At 41.1% G+C, this 19,124-nt stretch overlaps 1 protein-coding gene across 3 annotated transcripts in view, besides 1 other annotated feature; it reads left to right on the plus strand.

Annotated features, from left to right (window-relative positions):
• BACH1 (BTB domain and CNC homolog 1) overlaps positions 1–19,124 on the plus strand; it is a 62,973-nt gene that overhangs the window by 37,722 nt on the left and 6,127 nt on the right. For 2 of the 3 annotated variants that reach the window (NM_001186.4, NM_206866.3), the window contains exon 5: positions 5,756–9,505. In NM_001186.4, the coding sequence (NP_001177.1) occupies positions 5,756–6,190 (435 nt within the window). In that variant the 3' untranslated portion in view covers positions 6,191–9,505. Of the gene's footprint in view, positions 1–5,755; positions 9,506–14,990; positions 15,171–15,935; positions 16,021–19,124 lie in introns of those variants that run through there. The other variant, NR_027655.3, reaches the window with a different exon arrangement.
• Positions 5,477–6,676: an enhancer, noted in NCBI's record as "CDK7 strongly-dependent group 2 enhancer chr21:30714441-30715640 (GRCh37/hg19 assembly coordinates)". NCBI's record gives its function as "activates an origin of replication core promoter dependent on BRD2, BRD4, P300/CBP, MED14 and CDK7 cofactors, with strong dependence on CDK7, by STARR-seq in HCT116 cells {active_cell/tissue: HCT116}" and the evidence as "EXISTENCE:reporter gene assay evidence [ECO:0000049][PMID:35650434]".

Consider the following 19,124-nt stretch of genomic DNA (forward strand, 5'->3'; position numbering starts at 1 on the left):
TTCTTCCTTTCTTTCTCTTTTATTTTTTTATTTTTTTTTGAAACAGAGTCTCACTCTGTTGCCTAGGCTGGAGTGTGGAGTGCAGTGGCGTGATCTCAGCTCACTGCAACCTCTACCTCCCAGGTTCATGTGATTCTCCTGCCTCAGCCTCCCGAATAGCTAGGACTACAGGTGCCCACCACCACACCTAGCTAATTTTTGTATTTTTAGAAGTGATGGGTTTTCATCGTGTTGGCCAGCCTGGTCTCGAACACCTGACTTCAAGTGATCTGCTTTCCTCAGCCTCCCAAAGTGCTGGGATTACAGACATGAGCCACCATGCCTGGCCTTTTCTTGTTTTCTCTTTTCCCTCCCTCCCACTCTTTGGAATCACAGTGGACTCATGGATTAATTTTTTCTGATTCAATTTGTTAGGATAAGTAATAGTCATTATTCTTTTTGATGTTGACATTTTTCAAATTTGGCCTGGGAGAGCCCGTTCAAGCCAGCTCCTGTCCTGTTGACATAACCATCTAGCACTTGCCATGGTCTCACTTTTTAACCTCTATTGTTTCAAGATTTGGAATCACCCATTTCTTTAAAACTCCTGGTTTCTTCTAGCAGTTATATTGGACTTTGGAAAGCCTACCTGCTGCTGGAGTATTATTCCTTCTGGGCCTTTTTCAGTGGACAGAGCTAGGAAATATATGCATCTGTGTATAAAATAAAGTTCATTATATCATGAATTCATATATATCAGGCTTCAGTAAATGAAAGTAAAAAGTACATTAGAAATCCTGAGTTTATGTAGTATTTCCAGTCCAAATTTAGCAGTATAGAGCTTTTGTCTTCACTTCTGTGTTTATGTTTAATCTCTCATCATTTACAGGAAAAATTTTGGCTCCAATTACATTAGTGTATTGTTTCCTTTATAATATACAGTAAGTTCTCACTTAACATGAAATGATGGATAATGAAACCAGTTTTTTTCCTCATCAACTTTATAATGAAAGGATGTTGTAAAAATGAGAACACTTGGACACAGGGTGGGGAACATCACACACCGGGGCCTGTCGTCGGGTGGGGGAGTGGGGAGGGATAGCATTAGGAGATATACCTAATGTGCCGGGTGCGGTGGCTCAGGAGTTCGAGGCTAGCCTGGCCAACATGGTGGTGCAAACCTGTAATCCCAGCTACTCGGGAGGCTGAGGCAGGAGAATCGCTTGAACCTGGGAGGTGGAGGTTGCGGTGAGCTGAGATCATGCCATTGCACTCCAGCCTGGGCTACAAGAGCGAAACTCCGTCTTAAAACAAAAACAAAAACAAAAACAAAAACAAAAAAAACGAGTTAATGGGTGCAGCACACTAACATGGCACATGTATACATATGTAACAAACCTGCACGTTGTGCACATGTACCCTAGAACTTAAAGTATAATATAAATAAACAATAAAATAAAAAAGAAAGGATGTGGAACAAAATGTTTATTGAGGACCTGGTGTGCGTTGTTTCTCTTAAAGTCAGTTTCCAAAAACCTGTCGATGATTTTAAGTGAGGGCACACTGTATAAAAAGTAAGAAAATTAGACAATCAGTATTACTATTAACAGTAAACAAATTGAGCAGAATTTGAGATTTATTTGCTTTTTTATGCTTAAATATTTCCCAGTGTGAAGCTTTAAAGTTATTTGAAATATTTGTGTTACCAATTTGGCATACAATTAATTTTTTTTTCTATTTATATTACTGGGATTTACTCTACATTTTTTGAGACAGGGTTTCACTCTGTCACCCAGGCTAGAGTGCAGTGGCACAGTCATGACTCACTGCAGCCTTGACTTCTTGGGATCAAGCAAATCCTCTCATATCAGCCTTCTGAGTAGCCAGGACTACAGGTGCGCACCACCATGCCCGGGTAATTTTTTTGTGAAGGTGAGGTTTCGCTGTGTTGCCCAGGCTCCTCTCAAAACTCCTGGGCTCAATCGATCCTCCTGCCTTGGCCTCCCAAAGTGCTGAGATTTTAGGCATGAGCCACCATGCCTGGCCTACATTTTTAATTTGTTTTATTTTGAATGTAAAACGTTTATATGGTTCAAACATTAAAACTATATTTTAAAAAATATATACTCCAAATCTTGATCTCATCTTCTCCTTATACCCTATTCATAGCTACTTCCTATAGGTAACCATTTTCATTAGTTTCTGGATTTTTTTTTCCCTGTGTTTCTTTTCTAAAAATGTGTTAACATTTTATGTCTACTCTTATTATCCATCCTGCTGCATGGAAGTATTTTATATACATTTTTCTGTACTTTTTAAACTTAAGAATTGATTTATAGGAAATATTTTTTCTTAGTTCAGAGAGGTTGTCATTCGTTTTCCAGCTCCATAGTACTCAGTAGTGACTGTAATACAGTTCAAACCAGTCTTCTGTGGGTGGACAGTTGGGATCCTGCAGTGAATAACTGTATACTGTTTCATGTTTAAGGAGCTGTGTCTCTAGGACACATTCCTAGAAGTGGGATTGTTGGATCAAGGGTAAATACATACATAATTTTATTAGATATTAACAGATTCCCCTCCTTAGGAATTGTCATATTTGGCCTTCCAGCAGCAGTATATGTGTGTGTGTCTGTCCACACCCTCAGTCAAGATTTGTTGTCAGCTTTTGGGTTTTTTCCAGTCTGATAGTGAGATACCATGATATCTCGTGGTAGCTTTTATTTTTATCTTATGAGTGAAAATGAGCATTTTTGCTTATATTTCTCAGTGCCATTTGCAGATTTCTCTGAACTGCCGTTCAGAGGTTTTACTTACTAAGGAACTATTAGTGACCATTTTCTAACAGTGAGTACTCTTTACCCTATCATAAAATTGTCACTTGTACTTTTGGTGCCAAATTCTTCTATATCTTTATTGGGTGAGTTATATTTATGATCTTTAAAAAAATTATATTTGAATAAATATTGTGCACTAGCTATTCAAAATAAGGATTTAGATGCAAAGGTTTTTTTTTTTTTTTTTTTTTGAGACAGAGTCTTGCTCTGTCACCCAGGCTGGAGTGCAGCGGCACAATCTCGGCTCACCGCAACCTCCGTCTCCCAGGCTCAAGTGATTCCCCTGCCTCAGCCTGCCCTTTTAGCTAGGTTTACAGGTGTGTGCCACCATGCCCAGCTAATTTTTTTGTATTTTTATTAGAGACAGGGTTTCACCATGTTGGCTAAGCTGGTCTCGAACTCCTGACCTCACATGACCCGCCCACCTCAGCCTCCCAAAGTGCTGGGATTACAGGCGTGAGCCACTGTGCCCAGCCTGTAAAGATTTTTTGTTGGTATAAAATCCAGAATGGTACCAGAATGCCAATTTTATTCCTTTTTAAGAAATAGCTCTAATTAAAGGTGCAGCACTTCAAACGTGATTTATACAGTTGTTTTTATAGGAAAATGGAAATATATTGTAGGGATAGGTAGCAGGACACTAATAGTGAGTCCCACTCATGACTGTAAGTAGTGACTTTGGGAGGTATCTTAAATACTGATGTCATTAAGTAATTAACTTGAATTACTTGTATTTTACTTTTAGTTATTAAGCTGACTGCTATTATAGTAAATATGTGTCTTAAACTTAGAGTGAAATGGAAACTGCTTAGAAGCTTAGCTGTGTAGGAGTTAAAGTGCAGGGGAACAGATGGGAACATTTAATTTATAGAAATAATTCTGGTGGAGTTCTAGGGCTGTGCCTATTTGTTTTAGTTGTTGTGAAGAAGCAAGCCATCTTGTATACTTAAAGAATGATGTCATCCCTAATTTAGTGGGGTGGGAGGAGTGAGAGTATTTAAAGATCATGTGGATATTAAGATACAGAAGTCATAAAATATTTGTAATCTTCATAGTATCTGTAGGTTAAGTAGTGGTTCTAATTTCTGGGAGGAAGCTCAAGTACTCCTTATTTTGTTGAACCATATTTAATTTAAAAGACCAACCAGCAGTTGAAAATTTTCTATTGCTGTTTAGAATAGATTCATCCCAACTTTGGTAGAGGAGTCCATGGCTGAATATTGCCATGAGTGAAGAAAGATTCTTTCTCACTTTCTTCTGGAAGCTTTGTTTTCATCCTCCTTTGGATTGGCTTCTGAGAGACCATAAAAAGAAATGGGTGTTGATTGCATTTAATGGTTCCTACTGTGAACAAGCAGTAGGTACCGTTCTTGCCCTTTCAGTATCTGCAGACTCATTTTATCAGAAGAGTGCAACTGATAAACTTTGCATAAGAGAAAATGTACTGGCCAAACATTGATTTTGCTTACATACACATACTTAACACGCACATTCTTGACCTACATCTATTTAAAAAAAAAAAAAAAAAGAACTTGTATATAAAAATCTGAACAGATTGGAGAATACTTTGCCATATAAAAATTTAGTATTTTGTATTTATTGTATATTTTCTCAAAATATTACAAGGCTTTAAAATATTTTAGAAATAACAATAATTGGATTCATACATAATTTTATAGTAATACTTTTGTATAAAACCATAACAATACTTTTGTATAAAGCAAAATTCGTTTTACCCTTTTAGTGACTTTTATGTCATAAAAGACTAAAGGATGGCACTTATAGATTAGCACTATGAACTAACTTGTCTCAAGGTTAACTGGCAGCCTCAACTCTCCAGAACCTGTCAATGAACAGAAAGCAAACAGAACAACACTGACTTGTTGAGAGTTGTGATAAATTTCATAAGAAAAACGTTTGACTTTCTAGCAAGTGTTTATTTACTCTTTTCTTATAAATACCTTGATTATTTGGTTTCCTGGCTCATAATAGATTAGAAGCAATAAGATGTTAGAACAAGAAGGATGAAATGGGATGATAATAGAAAAGACATGCTGTCAGCAGTGATAAGTGACATGGACAGGAAGGCAGGAACCAGAAAAACTTTTGAAAAATTCTGTGGTAGACTTTCTTATAGGGGTAATATCTTAAAATTATAATAATAACAAAAATGGTAATTAGCAAGCACAAAATTACCCCCCCGAATTCTTCACACTTTAGTAACTCACCCACCGGCTGTCTCTAGGCATCTTAAATTCAGTCCCATCCCTTCAGTGGGTTTGATGTTGCTTAAATCAAGAGAGGTGTTGTGTGGATTACATAGCTGAGATTGCATGTTGGAAAACATTTAGCACAATATCTGTCAGAGAATCTGCTCAACAAATGCTGGTCATTAGTTGAATCTTGCAATGCTTTGAGTCTCAGTAATTAAGTTATGCTAACTGTACTTTTACTTTTTTTCTTGTATCCCATCCAAAATGCCATCCATACCTGTTATGTACAGTCTGTAAATCCAGAAAGCTCCAAAAACCGTATGTTTGTCACAAACTCTTTTGACCGAAAAACTGCCCCAAATTGACATTAGACTACATAGTCTTTATCCTACTTTCTTCATTATTTGCTATTTTAATGTTTACCTAGAAATGTAAAGATAGTTGATAGGGAAGTGCTGCCCCAGGCCTGCTAGAGAAATTATGTGTGCACCCATACTGTCTTTCCAAAACCTGAAAAATGCTTTGTGCCAAAATACATCTGCCCCAAGAGTTTTGGGTGGGAGATTCTGGGCCTTTAGTATTTAATGTATAATTGAATGGAATTGAAAGGATAAACTCCATGTGATCTTACTTGATGAGAAGCCCCTGTATATTATTTGATCGCCTTGGAAATGTTGATTGAGCTAATAAACACAAGCCATTGTGTTCTCTTTCCCCACTTCACAGCAAAGTGAAAAGGAGAGCTTGTTGAAGGAAAGAGATCACATTTTGTCAACTCTGGGTGAGACAAAGCAGAACCTAACTGGACTTTGCCAGAAAGTTTGTAAAGAAGCAGCTCTGAGTCAAGAACAAATACAGATACTCGCCAAGTACTCAGCTGCAGATTGCCCACTTTCATTTTTAATTTCTGAAAAAGATAAAAGTACTCCTGATGGTGAACTGGCGTTACCATCAATTTTCAGTTTATCTGACCGGCCTCCAGCAGTGCTGCCTCCCTGTGCCAGAGGAAACAGTGAGCCTGGCTACGCGCGAGGGCAGGAGTCCCAGCAGATGTCCACAGCCACCTCTGAGCAAGCTGGGCCTGCGGAACAGTGTCGTCAGAGTGGTGGGATCTCAGATTTCTGTCAGCAGATGACTGATAAATGTACTACTGATGAGTAAACTTGCATTCACTTCCTTCAAACCATCTAATTTTCTCCTGAAGTTTTGGCAGCGTCTTGAAAGCCTAATATGACCATCTGTTGCTCAACAATACTGTTTTTTTCCTTTAGTAGTTTACCATAAGGGAATTTCCTTTAAGTCAACCATGATTTCTCCTTGATTTCTACAAGAGACAAAGAAATGATTTTGCCTCCTGGATATCAGAAAAATCCATGTGAAAATGTAGTAAACCTTTAAAACTCATGTTTTAAAGAATAATAACTCTAGTAATAACTCTTCCTGCTATTCAGAATAAGTAGGAGAATGAAAACTGCAGCATATCAGACAGCAATTTAACAGCTTGAAACATCTACAGATAGTTCCTACTAAAAGAAGTGGCCTGCAGAAGTTTAATAATTTGACTTTTTTCTAATATTTTAGTTTGAAAGAAAATTTCTTCCCAAGCAATGCTAATAGAGTTCTATTCTTAGAAGCAGGGTGTCAGCTACTGGGAATATTTTTGTAGAGCTGCATTGTGAAAAAAAGATGGTCTTACCTGAATCTTAGGGCTTTGTTCTTCGGCTCCTAAAATCAGGCTTTAAGCTACATTGGGAAGATTTAGTAAATAGGCAAGTGGTTGGCCTAAGACGGGGGCTGCTTCTCCTCTTCAGTATGGACTCTAGAAAGTCTGGCTACATGAATAGATTTAAGTGTCACTTTCCCTCCCTGCCCCCCGCTTCAGTCTCTACCATATCTGGTCCCATCATGGACTTCCTATTTCCTGGCATTTTTGTCCCTTTGGAAGAAGAAATAGGACTCAGAATACAGTGGCATGAGTGATTACACTGGCAGCATTATCTCAGGCTCCCTAGAATCTGGAGAGCTTACCAACATGTAAAGCTGTTCATTTTTCCACCGTGGGTCACCAATGCCAGAAAACCAGACATCACGGGGAAAGAATGTTGCTTACTTTTTACCAGGAGTGCAGTTCATTTTTTTCACCCTGTTTTTGAAGTCGTATTATTCACTTGTAAAAATGATTGTAACAGATAAAAAATGTATCTGCAGCAACTCTGCAGGTTTGTGAAATAGGATGAAACTCAATCTTTTTCTATTGTGGGTTTGCATTTGAAAAGCAGGTTGAATCCTTGCTCTCTTCTCCAAATTTGGTGTGGTATAAAGACACACAAATCATTTTAACTTGGACATTTAAAGATCAGTCTTAGTGTTTGTTCAGTCCTGTTACAAAATAGATAACTGAGCACCTATCGCATAACATTTTGCGGTGGCTTTTAGCCATGCTGGGGTTAGATGTGTTTGAGAGTCAAATGAAAGCTATGGATCTTCTCAGCAATTAAAAAAAATGCATATATTCACATTCACAGAAACATTGGCAGAACCCAGTTTTAATGGTACAGAGGAGTAGTTTATAGTGTTGATTTCACCAAAATCAGAGGGCTGAAAGAGACACTTCTATAGACTGCATCCTGAGCCTAGTGCAGGGCTTGTCTAGCTAATGTGGGCAGCCACCACCCACTGTGTATGAACAAGTCTGAAGCAAGTTGGCCTTGCCCTTGAGAGTATATGGGGACCAGTCTTCATGTCTTGGAGTAATTTGTCAAATGTTACCCTTTTTGATCAGGGTGTAGGGGGAGGATATTGCTAGTATATTTTCAGTGGTTTGTATGTTCTCTCTGTCACTGACTTATTTGTAAGAGAAAATTAGTTGGACTTGTTTATTTTCTAGTAGCTTTTATAAGTACACTCAAGAATTTGTCAGGGAGAATAATTCTGATAGTGCATCCCATACTGCAAAAGAATTTGTGTGTGTGTGTGTGTGTGTGTGTGTGTGTGTGTATGTGTATGTATACATATATATCTCTCCATATAGGTATTTCTTTGATACTTGTAATTTTAAATTTCAGCTTCACGATATAAAATAATATAAGAACTTCTGGTTTACAAAATGTAAAATCTTAAGCCAATGGAACCCTTGATTTCCTACCTCAGTGTACACCCAACTATTGGTTGTATCAGTTTGTGTATGTGCAAATGTCAAATAATCTTTTGCTTTAATTGCTACTGTACTTGCTTTGAAAGATTACCTACTATTTTATGATAAAATGTAGTTGTCTCCAGAGCTTAAATATAATTTGTAAAGCACTTGGTTTAAATTTCTCTCTACCTATAAACAGTTTAGCATTAAGGGTTTCTATTAATGACACAGAATTATTGGCCAAGTGTAATTTCTTAAAATTTAGCATTACTTTAAATAGCCAGCATGTAATACAAGTAACTACACTACCTCATATCTACATGATTTTCAAGTTGTAATGCAGATGGACAGATAAAAAAGATTTTACGTTTGTCTTTTGGCCATAAGTGGGAAAGTTTTCTGTATATTGCATAGCATTACACATTTATGCCTATTTTAACATTAACTTCTAAAGAAGTTTTTTCTAAGAAAATGTTTCAAGGCAATATTTTTTTTGAGGCTGCCGAAGACAAATGACAGGATTATGAGTATACAGTGTATGCCTTTTCCTTCATGCAGAATTTTGAAATGTTTTCAGTTTGTATATTGCATATTCACATGATCATTGTTCACTATTTTATGAACTGGCCTTCTCAATGTTTGATGATTTTTTAAAAGCTGTTATGTTGAATTCAGTAAAATAACATTACCTTATTTTTTTTCTTATTCAAATTCTGGAACTATAGCAAATAATTCGTTAAATTGTCATATTCAAAACAAATGTGGATACAGTCTTGGTTCTCCATCTGTAATTTTTTTTAACAGTTTGCTATAGCTTACTGCTTAACTAATTTTAAATAAGGAAATAAGTATGTTAGATGCAGTAGACGATACAGGTTGCATGTGGACACTCAGTCACATTAACAACTTGGGAAAAAAATGGCAATGTTACGGTGAATTCTCAGGTGAACTTTTTTCAGTTATAAAACATCTATTTTGAATCTGTAAATATTTTAAATGTTTTATTAAGGCATGTAATAAACTATTCTTTGAAACTTGTTGGGTAGAATGAAAATTAAAGCCATAATGGTAGAAGATGGCATACTGATTATAAAAGAAGCAGAAAAACATTGATTTTTTTATATCTTTCATAATATAATTTTCTAACAATGCAATAAAACCACTAAACTTTTGTGTCCATATTTTACTGAGACCATGTTTCATTAAAAGCATAGTTTCATAGTATTTAATTTACATTTCTCCCTAATGTTCTTACCCAAATGTACCTGAACTAAAAAATGTTAGATGTTGGTGATAAGTTGACAGTTAAATAAAATTCTCTAAAATTGCTTCTAATTGAATAGAATTGTACATTCCATTTTCATTTTCTCACTTCATGTGGATTTACTCAGTTTAGTCTTTTGATCGGTAATTAGTATATCTGAATTTGTAGGAGAGAATCTTTCCTTAGTTGATGATAATCATGCCTCAAAAAAAAAAAAATTCCAGCATTCAGGTGTTTTAGGAAGCACAGATTTTAGCTTTGCTTCTGATTTTACTTAATGTTAGTTTGGATAGAGAAGTATAGGGACTCTTAAGGGGTATTATCTCTATCAGTCATTAAGTTTTAAAAACTTATCTGCCGAGTCAGCTCTTTGTATCCTATTCAATTTCCAACCAGGCCCTTCTGACCAAGCTTTGGGCAGCTGCTCAGCGGTATTGGCCATCCAGGGCAAAGTCTTCTGGTCTAATCATAGTGATTCTCAGCTGGGGATGATTTTGCTTGCCTAGGGGACACTTGGCAGTTCCCAGAGACACAAATCTCGGGGGCAGGGTATAGGATATGGCTTCTAGGGGCAGAGGCCAGGACAGCCCTCACAACAATTACCCACCCAGGGTATCGATCTGGCTGACATTGAGAAACCCTGACTAGACCAACGATGGAATCAAGATGACTTGTAAGAAAGTGCTCAGTTGTGTGAGATAGTGTGGTGGCTGCAAGAGTTCAAAGGAGACAGGGTGAGAAACGTGGGATTTCACCAAGCTTTGAAAGATTGTAGTCTGAATCGGGAGAAGATGGTCTCTGGGGAGAGGAGGCCACTTGGCACAAATAAGCCTGGCGTGTTAAAGGAACAGAAGGAGGTTGTCACAGTGAGAGGGAGAAGGAGGAAGGCCCCCACTTGAGTGTTCACCAGTGGGTGTCCCAGCATCTTGCCCTACCCAGATTGACTTAAGTTATCGAAGGTCTGAGGTTAGACTGTAAGGGCTTTAAGAGCAACAGAAGTATAGGTAGTAGGTATTGAGGGTTTAGAGGAAGGCCAAAAATAGCACCCTTTCCCTGGCCAGAGTTTTGAACCATTTGAGAAATAAAAAGTAGGTGAAGTCCATATCGCTGATGGAACCCAGCTTGGAACCATGGCTTTCTAGCTGTTTAGCCCAGTGAACCTGCTAAAAGTGCATTCTGGAATTAGGCAGACTTAATCCATCCACCGGTCACCTTGGACGACCCCAAAAGGGGCAGAGCTCTTAGAGGAGCAGAAAAATGTAAACAGGGAGCAAATTCCACAAGTAAGGGGTGGGCCGAGCCAAGTAGACTTAATGACGCTAAAAATTTACTCATTAGAATCAGGGACTACTACATCAGGGCCAGGACAAAGTACAAAGTGGAAGTACAAAGGCCAGAGGGTGTTTCTTGCCCTGGAGATTTAAACTAGGGAAGTCTTAGGGAAGAGTGTTCCCCTTTCATGCTCCCCAGTTTAAGTTCTCTTGAAACATTGGCCCATTGCTCAACCAGGGCTGTGACTGATGGCCTGGAGGAGGAGAGCATCTGTTCCAGAGGGCAGACCTCCTCTCACCTTTGAGGCCACTTCCCAACACCAGCCTTTGCAGGTGTGACTGGCTTGGGCTGTCAGTGAACATTTGGTCTCAGAAGGCTCTGGATCCAGCAGTGTACTAGTAAGTAAATGAATTCAAAGGCTACTCTGTACCAAAGACTGAACATTTTTCTCATCCCTAATTCTCTCCTACCTCATCGTCCCGTGTAGCATGTAGCATATCAGATGTTCTGCATTGAGATTAGATCCCAACATAACATTCCCATAAGAAAATGCATGAAAGTCCAGGAATAAAATGCTAGCAACATAATGATATCCAAATTTGAATGGAAGTTTAACTTTTATTATTCAACTTTTAGAGAAAAAAATTCAAAGATTAAGTCCCTTTGGATTAAAAAAAATCTAAAGGCATTAAAGTCTAAAGGAACTAAAGCAAATCAAATTATTTTGTCCACCTGAGTTCGAAGTACAAAACTTTAAGAAAAATAAATCCCAAGACTATCCTGCCAGATTTCTCATTCAGATCAGCCTTGGCCAGAGGAGTTTTTGATGCCTAGGTCCAGTTGAGATTCTTTCAAGAGGCTGTAGCTGGAGTTGTCTTTAAGAGAGTGGTTGTTCCTACCGTGCTCCAGAAGGAACTAGGTTTGAGGCTGAGTCTCTGATGTGCTCACTTTAGAGTCAGAAGAGTTAACCACAAAATTATCATAGCCTTGGCCCCACAACCACCCTTGTTTCGAAACAAGCTAATTCCCAGGTACTAAAGCAGTCATCCCATACAACACTGCTCCCACAGCTCAGTACCTAGTGCTGCCAGAGACCATAGTAGAACCTCAATAGTATCTGGAAAAAAAAAAAATCTTGGTTTCAGTTCCCCAAAGATGCCCCAGTGTTCTGTAACTCACAACTCGTGATCCTAATTTCTATTGGAAGGACGCTCAAAAAGGGCTTAATTTTGGCCGTATACACTGATCATTCCTGGGGGAAAGACCACCATTGCATGACACCTTAATTTACATTTCCCCTTCCAACAAGCTGTTTCTGGTACCTGGACTGTTGAGTGAGGGCTCCCTCTAGGGGCTCTGAGCCAACATCCCTGTATACAGGCGTTTTCAGGCCTGAGCCAGAATGCATGTTTAGGCCTAAGAAAGTTGCCTCCTAGGGATGGAGGAGGCGTCTTAAATCTATCTTTACGGCCCGGCAGGGTGGCTCACGCCTGTAATCCCAGCACTTTGGGAGGCTGAGGTGGGCGGATCACGAGGTCAGGAGATTGAGACCATCCTGGCTAACACGATGAAACCCCATCTCTACTAAAAATACAAAAAATTAGCCGGGCGTGGTGGCAGGTGCCTGTAGTCCCAGCTACTCAGGAGACTGAGGCAGGAGAATGGCGTGAACCCAGGAGGCGGAGCTTGCAGTGAGCCGAGATAGCGCCACTGCTATCCAGCCTGGGCGACAGAGTGAGACTCCGTCTCAAAAAAAAAAAAAAAATCTATCTTTACATAGATTTAAGCAGTCCAGAATCAACTACAGATGAACCACATGGATCCAAGGTCCCTTCATGGTTCCCTCCTTGTGCCTGAATGCAGAATGGAATTTGGGGTGGCTGATACAGCAAGGGCCACAGTGGCCTGGCGCTACCAGTTAGAAGCTAGAACCTTACAAGCACTCTGTAGTACGTTGGAACCCAGCTGCCTTGAAAATCGGTGAAAATCAGTACCTATTATTTTTCCCAGCTACACCTAAAAGGCCTGTGAAGTCTGCTTTTCCCCTGGAAACTGCAGCAGTGGCATCTTGAGGCCACCTGCCCTGCCAAGCACCTGTGGGCGCTGGGCCTTTCCCTGTGAAACTGCTATGTTGCTGTTGATGGAGAGGGGCCCACCGGCGGCTGCTGCCCACATTTAATTTATTCCATGTTGCACCCACTTTCTAGGGCCTCTTGCAGTCCGTGAGAGGTGTGGAGGGAATTTCTGCCAGTTGGGTTTAAGATCATGGGTAGTACATTCCAGAAAGTGGGTGTTGACTGACAGGCATCAGGGGGAAGCTAATGTAAGGATTTTCCCCATTGACTTTCCTTGCCTCAGTTACCACTGAGTACCTTCCACAGCCTTTGGGTGCACCAGGTACCGTGTTCTAAGAATATAATTTTTCTTGGACAGCTGCTGTCTTGGCTGGGGATTGGCTTGATTTCAAAACAGGTGGTGCAAATGCTGTGATAATCTTGTGAGTGTCTCATTAATGCTGAGCCACTTAGACTCTTGGCATTGAGCCAGTTAAACTCCTGAGTCCCTGAAGGAATTGCACTATGAGAGGCGCTCCATATCTCTTCTGAAGTCCTTGCGCCTTTCACTTAAGATGCCCCTCCCCACCAGCCTCTCCAAAGGCCTAAGGAGACCAGTTAGGGCTCCACAGAAAGTCATTCTCTGAGGAAAAACACCACAAGCCACAACGATCCTCTAGATTCAATATGCTCACAGCCTGCTTTAAAACCTCTTACCCAGACCAACGTCACTCCTGTAAAAACCCACTTGGCCTAATACAAACCTCCACATACAATCGAAGGTAAAATGTCACGGCCTCTACTGCACCCCGTGGTTCACAAGACTCCCAATCACATGCGTCTCTTACTACCCAAACTCTGCTCTTCTGGTTTTGATTTTTCAATGTCTGTATACAATGCCGCCCTGCCAAATGTTGGGTTTCCAAAGGAACATTGCATATTCCTTTCCTGAGCTATGAAGAATTTGAGAGAGAAAATAAAGGAATGGTAGATGGGAAACCAAAACAAAACCTCAGTTGCTGATAATGGAGTAGCTTAGCGTGAGAGCCTAGTGCAAACTCCAGAATGAGTCAAGTTGACCTTATCAGGTTGTTTCTTGTTAGAGGGAAGTAACTTTTCCACCCTTGGTTTCCATGAAGGGAGATTTTCCTCTGGGCAGCATAGCACCACCTATACTCCGCTAATCAGCATGGTGGTGTGGAGGCGTAGAGTGCTAGTGGTGCTATTTGGAGACGGGCACATCCCAAGAGGAAGAATGGCCATGCAGGGCAGAGGACAACCAGTTATTTTCAGATTTATCAATCAGCCAGCGCACTCCATCTCTGCAGGGATGAGGGGAGCAAAGAGGTTGAGGGAAGATCATGTTCCAAGGTCAGAGTGTAGAAGGTGAAGGGAAGAATGTGGAAAGGAATTACGTGGAGGCAGAGTCTGGGGGCTTTGAGAAGCTTGCAAGAAGAGAAAGAGAAAGATACCCCAGAAGAGGAGCAGACTCCCATGAAAGCCACGAACTTGCCCTCTCATCTGCACACTCCACTACTAGCGGGAACATAGGTTCAGGTTTAAAAGCCAAGCCTGACCTTGTGTTTAACTGCAAACACTTCTTTTTCCTCTTCCTCATCTTATTCTTAAAGTATAAATGCAAAGATCATGGAAAATATTTAAAAATTGAGCACATTACCTTTTCATTTTAAAACAGCCATCCTTTAAAACAGACACCATTTTCATTCTGCACTCTTAGTTTATACTTAATCACTGTCCCGAAAGTCAGCTGTTTTCTAAACAGTTAATTTCCTTCTTTCAGGAGACCGGACCTAAATAATTTTCCAGATACCATCTTGATATGCAGGTTTCCCATGTGATGTGAATCTCTTGGCAGGAGATCCTGTTAACAATACCCAGCACGCTATATGAAAATATCCACTATAACTTAAGCTTTCTAAAGTAATACCTATTTGGTCCACCTCAGAAACTGACAGTAGTTCTGTTTTGAGCTATTAATTTCAGAGAATCTTCCTTTGTGAAATAAGCATGCTTATGTTTTCCTTGCTTTGATTTAAATGATAGCCTTAACTGCTGGGCACAGGACTACTATTAAAACCTTAAGAATAAGATTTTCTGAAGAAGGAACTCGTTTTTTAAGCACTGTGTTTTCATCTCATTTGAGCGTTTACTCTGGGCTTTAGAAGACCTCATCTATTATGCTCAACATCTGATATTTGAGGGGTTCTGTTTCAGGGTTCTGTGGAAAATCTGATGTGCCAAGAAGTGTTCCATACCATTCTGAGAACTCTGGATACCTGCTCAGACAGCTCTGTTTCAGCTAAACAGTAACATCTGGGAGGGAAGCTTAATGTGGAATCAAGGATGAAGTTTAACACAGGAATGAGAAGTAGAGCACATAGCTGCTAAGATAAGGTAGGAGAATTTGGCTAGTAAAAGCACTTAATGGCCTGAACTTGTGTTTACTAGGGCCTGGGAGAGCAGACAGCTGCCAGCATACTTAAAATAGGTTGAGTATGAAGTATGCACTTAAGGACTAAAAGAATTGCAGAAATTTAAGCAATGACTCAGTTACAAATCCAAGCCCCTTCAGAAAGTACAGGAACTATGGGGAGGAATAGAAAGAACATAAACCTGCAGTGAGACAGACCTAGTTTTCTTTTTTTTTTTTTTTGAGATGGAGTCTCACTTTTTTGCCCAGGCTGGAGTGCAGTGGCGCGATCAGAGCTCACAGCAACCTCTGCCTCCTGGGTTCAAGCCATTCTTCTGCCTCAGCCTCCCAAGTAGCTAGGATTATAGGTGTGCACCACCACACCTGGCTAATTTTTCTATTTTTGGTAGAGACGGGGTTTCACGTGTTGGCCAGGCTGGTCTTGAACTCCTGACCTCAAGTGATCCGCCCGCCTCGGCCTCCCAAAGTGCTGGGATTGCAGGCGTGAGCCACTGCTCCCGGCCTAGACCTAGTTTTGAAGCCTGGTTTTGATGCTTAGCCACAGTATAGCCAAAGGAAAATTACTTAATGTCTCTCAGATAGAATTTCCTTATATGTATGTCTTTCATGTTGGGACTTCTGGTCCTCGATAGCAAAGTAAGACTGACTCAAACTTCTACTCACACCTCGTGAAAATTCAAATCAATTCACCGCATTGAATGCCTTCTTTAATTTGCTCTGTTGCCCAGGCTGGAGTCTCAGCTCATTGCAACCTTTGCCTGCCAGGTTCAAGTGATTCTCCTGCCTCAGCTTCCCAAGTAACTGGGACTACAGGTGCGTGCCACCACACTTGGCTAATATTTGTTTTTGTTGTTGTTGTTGTTTTTGTTTTTTTTTTTTGAGATGGAGTCTTGCTCTGTTGCCCAGGCTAGAATGCAGTGGCATGATCTCAGCTCACTGCAACCTCCACCTTCCAGGTTCAAGCAATTCTCCTGTCTCAGCCTCCCAAGTAGCTGGGACTACAGGTGCTCGCCACCACACCTGGCTAATTTTTGTATTTTTTAGTAGAGATGGGGTTTCACCGTGTTGGCCAGGCCAGTCTTGAACTCCTGACCTCAGGTGATCCACCCACCTCAGCCTCCCAAAGTGCTGAGATTACAGGCATGAGCCACTGTGTCCAGCCTAATTTTTGTATTTTTAGTAGAGATGGGGTTTCACTATGTTTGCCAGGCTGGTCTTGAACTCCTGACCTCATGATCTGCCTGCCTTGGCCTCCCAAAGTGTTGGAATTACAGGCAAGAGCCACCGTGCCTGGCCGGTTACAGTTTTCTAAGAAATGGCAATGGAAGGCCTCACTGAGAAGATGTAAGAACTGAAGGAGGTGAAGTGAGTTTTAGTGGTTACACATTGCAAATTATTTTTGGCTAAGTTGTAAGTAAAAAATAGAGGAAATAACCAATCTTGTATGGTTGTAGTAAGAATCAAATGAAACAATGTATGGAAGAGTGTCTACCAGAAGGCCCCATGACACAGCTAGCACGCAATAAGCTTTCATCGTCTTGTATAGAATGGTACCATCCAATTCAGTACCCACTAGCCACATGCCACGTGTCACAACCCCCTTCTTTTCTTAGTACCTTTTTGTCAGAGGTCCCCTCTCTGTTCCTCCAACTTGCCAAAATTCACCTCCATCTCCTTTGCAGCATTTGAGAAGGAACTGGCCAAGAAGTGTTTTTGGAATTCTTAGCTGACCACCCACCTCCAGCCTACAGAGGTGGTTGAAAAGACTAAGAAGAGTTTTTTGGAGAAGATAGAGAATTTTGTTAGAAAATGTGGTAGTGCTGGGACTGTAACCTTCTTAATCTTAGTGAGGGGGGCTATGAGATGCCCACTAAAAAAGCCTTGACATGAGTCACCTAGAGTTTGGGAGACACAAAGGACTGGCACCTTATGCATAAAAAATATTGCTTGAGTAGATGGATGAAACTCCTGTGGCAGCAGAATAGAGTGGCATTTGGGAAGAAGAAGAATTGGCACTGGTGGGGGTAAAAGTTATAGGACTTCAGCCACCAGATGTGGAACCTAAATGAGGACTGTTCGTCTGAGGTCATTTCCAAGGGGATCCTATTCAACAGGGCTTCTGCCAGGGAGGGAGGTTGCCTTTGAAAGAGAAAATCTGAGATTTACCCTCAGGTACAGAAGCTGAGGGATTGCTCATGGTCAACCAATGGAGCTCTAAAAGATGAGCGGGAAGCTGGGTGAAGAGGAAGCATGTTTTGAGCCAAGGCAATTGCATATGCAAAGGCTGAGGGATGAGAGAGGGCCTCTCATGGTTTATTTGTAGAGCTGAAAGATGTTTGGTGTGGTTGCATGCCATGTATGTGTGGCCGGGGATAATGAGGGCTCCAGGTTGGAGGAGTGACATGTGGTGAGTCAGGAGAGGGGTGAGAAGAGTCCAGACCTTCTCAGGTATATGATAAAGTTTGACATTTATCTTAAGGACAATGGGAAACTTTTGAAAGGTGTGATATGATCAGTCCTGTGTTTCACAGTTTGTTTTGGCTGCAGTGAGGAGAGTGGATTGTGGAGTGGGAAGAGTGGAATGGGAGATACCAGTAAGAAACCACGGCTGTAGTCAGACAAGAAGTTAGGTGGACTGGACCAGGGATGTGTTCGTGGGAAATCAGAACAGTGGCCAGATTCATGAAACATGGCAGAGATGACTGTCCTGAGGTAGAAGAAGAGCTGGTAAAAAAGATAGAACCACAGACGATCCCCAGGTTCCTTTCTTGAACAACAGAGTGGAAGATGTTTCTGTTCAATGCGATGGTGAACACGAGGTCAGAGCAGGTTTGTGGAACCAGGTGTTAAATTCAGTGATGAGTGTACTGCAGGCAAGGCATGCTGTGTGGCGCCCATGTGGTTGTTGACATGTAAGACTTCTGCTCAGGAGGAAGATTTGGGCCAAAGCTTTACATTTATGCCTTTGGCATATGGTCCACTTTTGAAGCTATGTGAGAGGAAAAGCTTGCCTGAAAAGTGTGTGTGTGGTGAACAGAGGAGATAGCCCAGGACAGACCCCAAAGGAATACTGATGACTGGGAAAGAAGAACTCATAATGGAGATAAGGAACACTAGAGGAGAAGGAAGATCAGAAGCAAGCAAGATCTTGCAGCAGCAAGATTTATTGTGAAGAGTGAAAGAAAAAGCTTCCACAGCATGGAAGGGGACCGGAGCGGGTTGCCCCTGCTGACTGGGGTGGCCAGCTTTTATTCCCTTATTTGGCTCTGCCACATCCTGCTGATTGGTCCATTTTACAGAGCACTGATTGGTCCATTTTGCAGAGTGCTGATTGGTCTGTTTTTACAGAGTGCTGATTGGTGCGTTTACAAACCTTTAGCTAGACACAGAGTGCTGATTGGTCCGTTTTTACAGAGGGCTGTTTGGTGCGTTTACAAACCCTTAGCTAGACACAGAGCGCTGATTGGTGCGTTTTTACAGAGTGCTGATTGGTGCGTTTACAAACCTTTAGCTAGACACAGAGTGCTGATTGGTGTGTTTACAATCCTTTAGCTAGACAGAAAAGTTCTCCAAGTCCCCACCTAACCCAGAAGGCCAGCTGGCTTCACCTCTCAATCCCCCCTCTAAACAGGACACCCCAACTGCTGCTGGGAATTGGGCGATGACTGCTCTAGCTACTTCCTGCTGGATAGAGGCAAAGAAGGGTCCCTGCAGTTGCAGTGTCTTCCAGAGGGGAACTCTCTAGGCCAGTGAAAGGGCCAGCGGGTCGGTCCAGGGGTCCTCGGTAGAAGTTGTTAGTTTAGCTCATTTGGGGTTCCATTCGTAAGACCATCTGTAGCTTGATGGCCTCGATTCTAGAGGAAACAGATTTGACAAGGAGGTTAAAAATAAGGGTCCGAAGGCGAGTAATAGCAAGA

The sequence above is a fragment of the Homo sapiens genome, chromosome 21 (assembly GCF_000001405.40).
Source record: "Homo sapiens chromosome 21, GRCh38.p14 Primary Assembly".
NCBI lineage: Eukaryota > Metazoa > Chordata > Mammalia > Primates > Hominidae > Homo > Homo sapiens.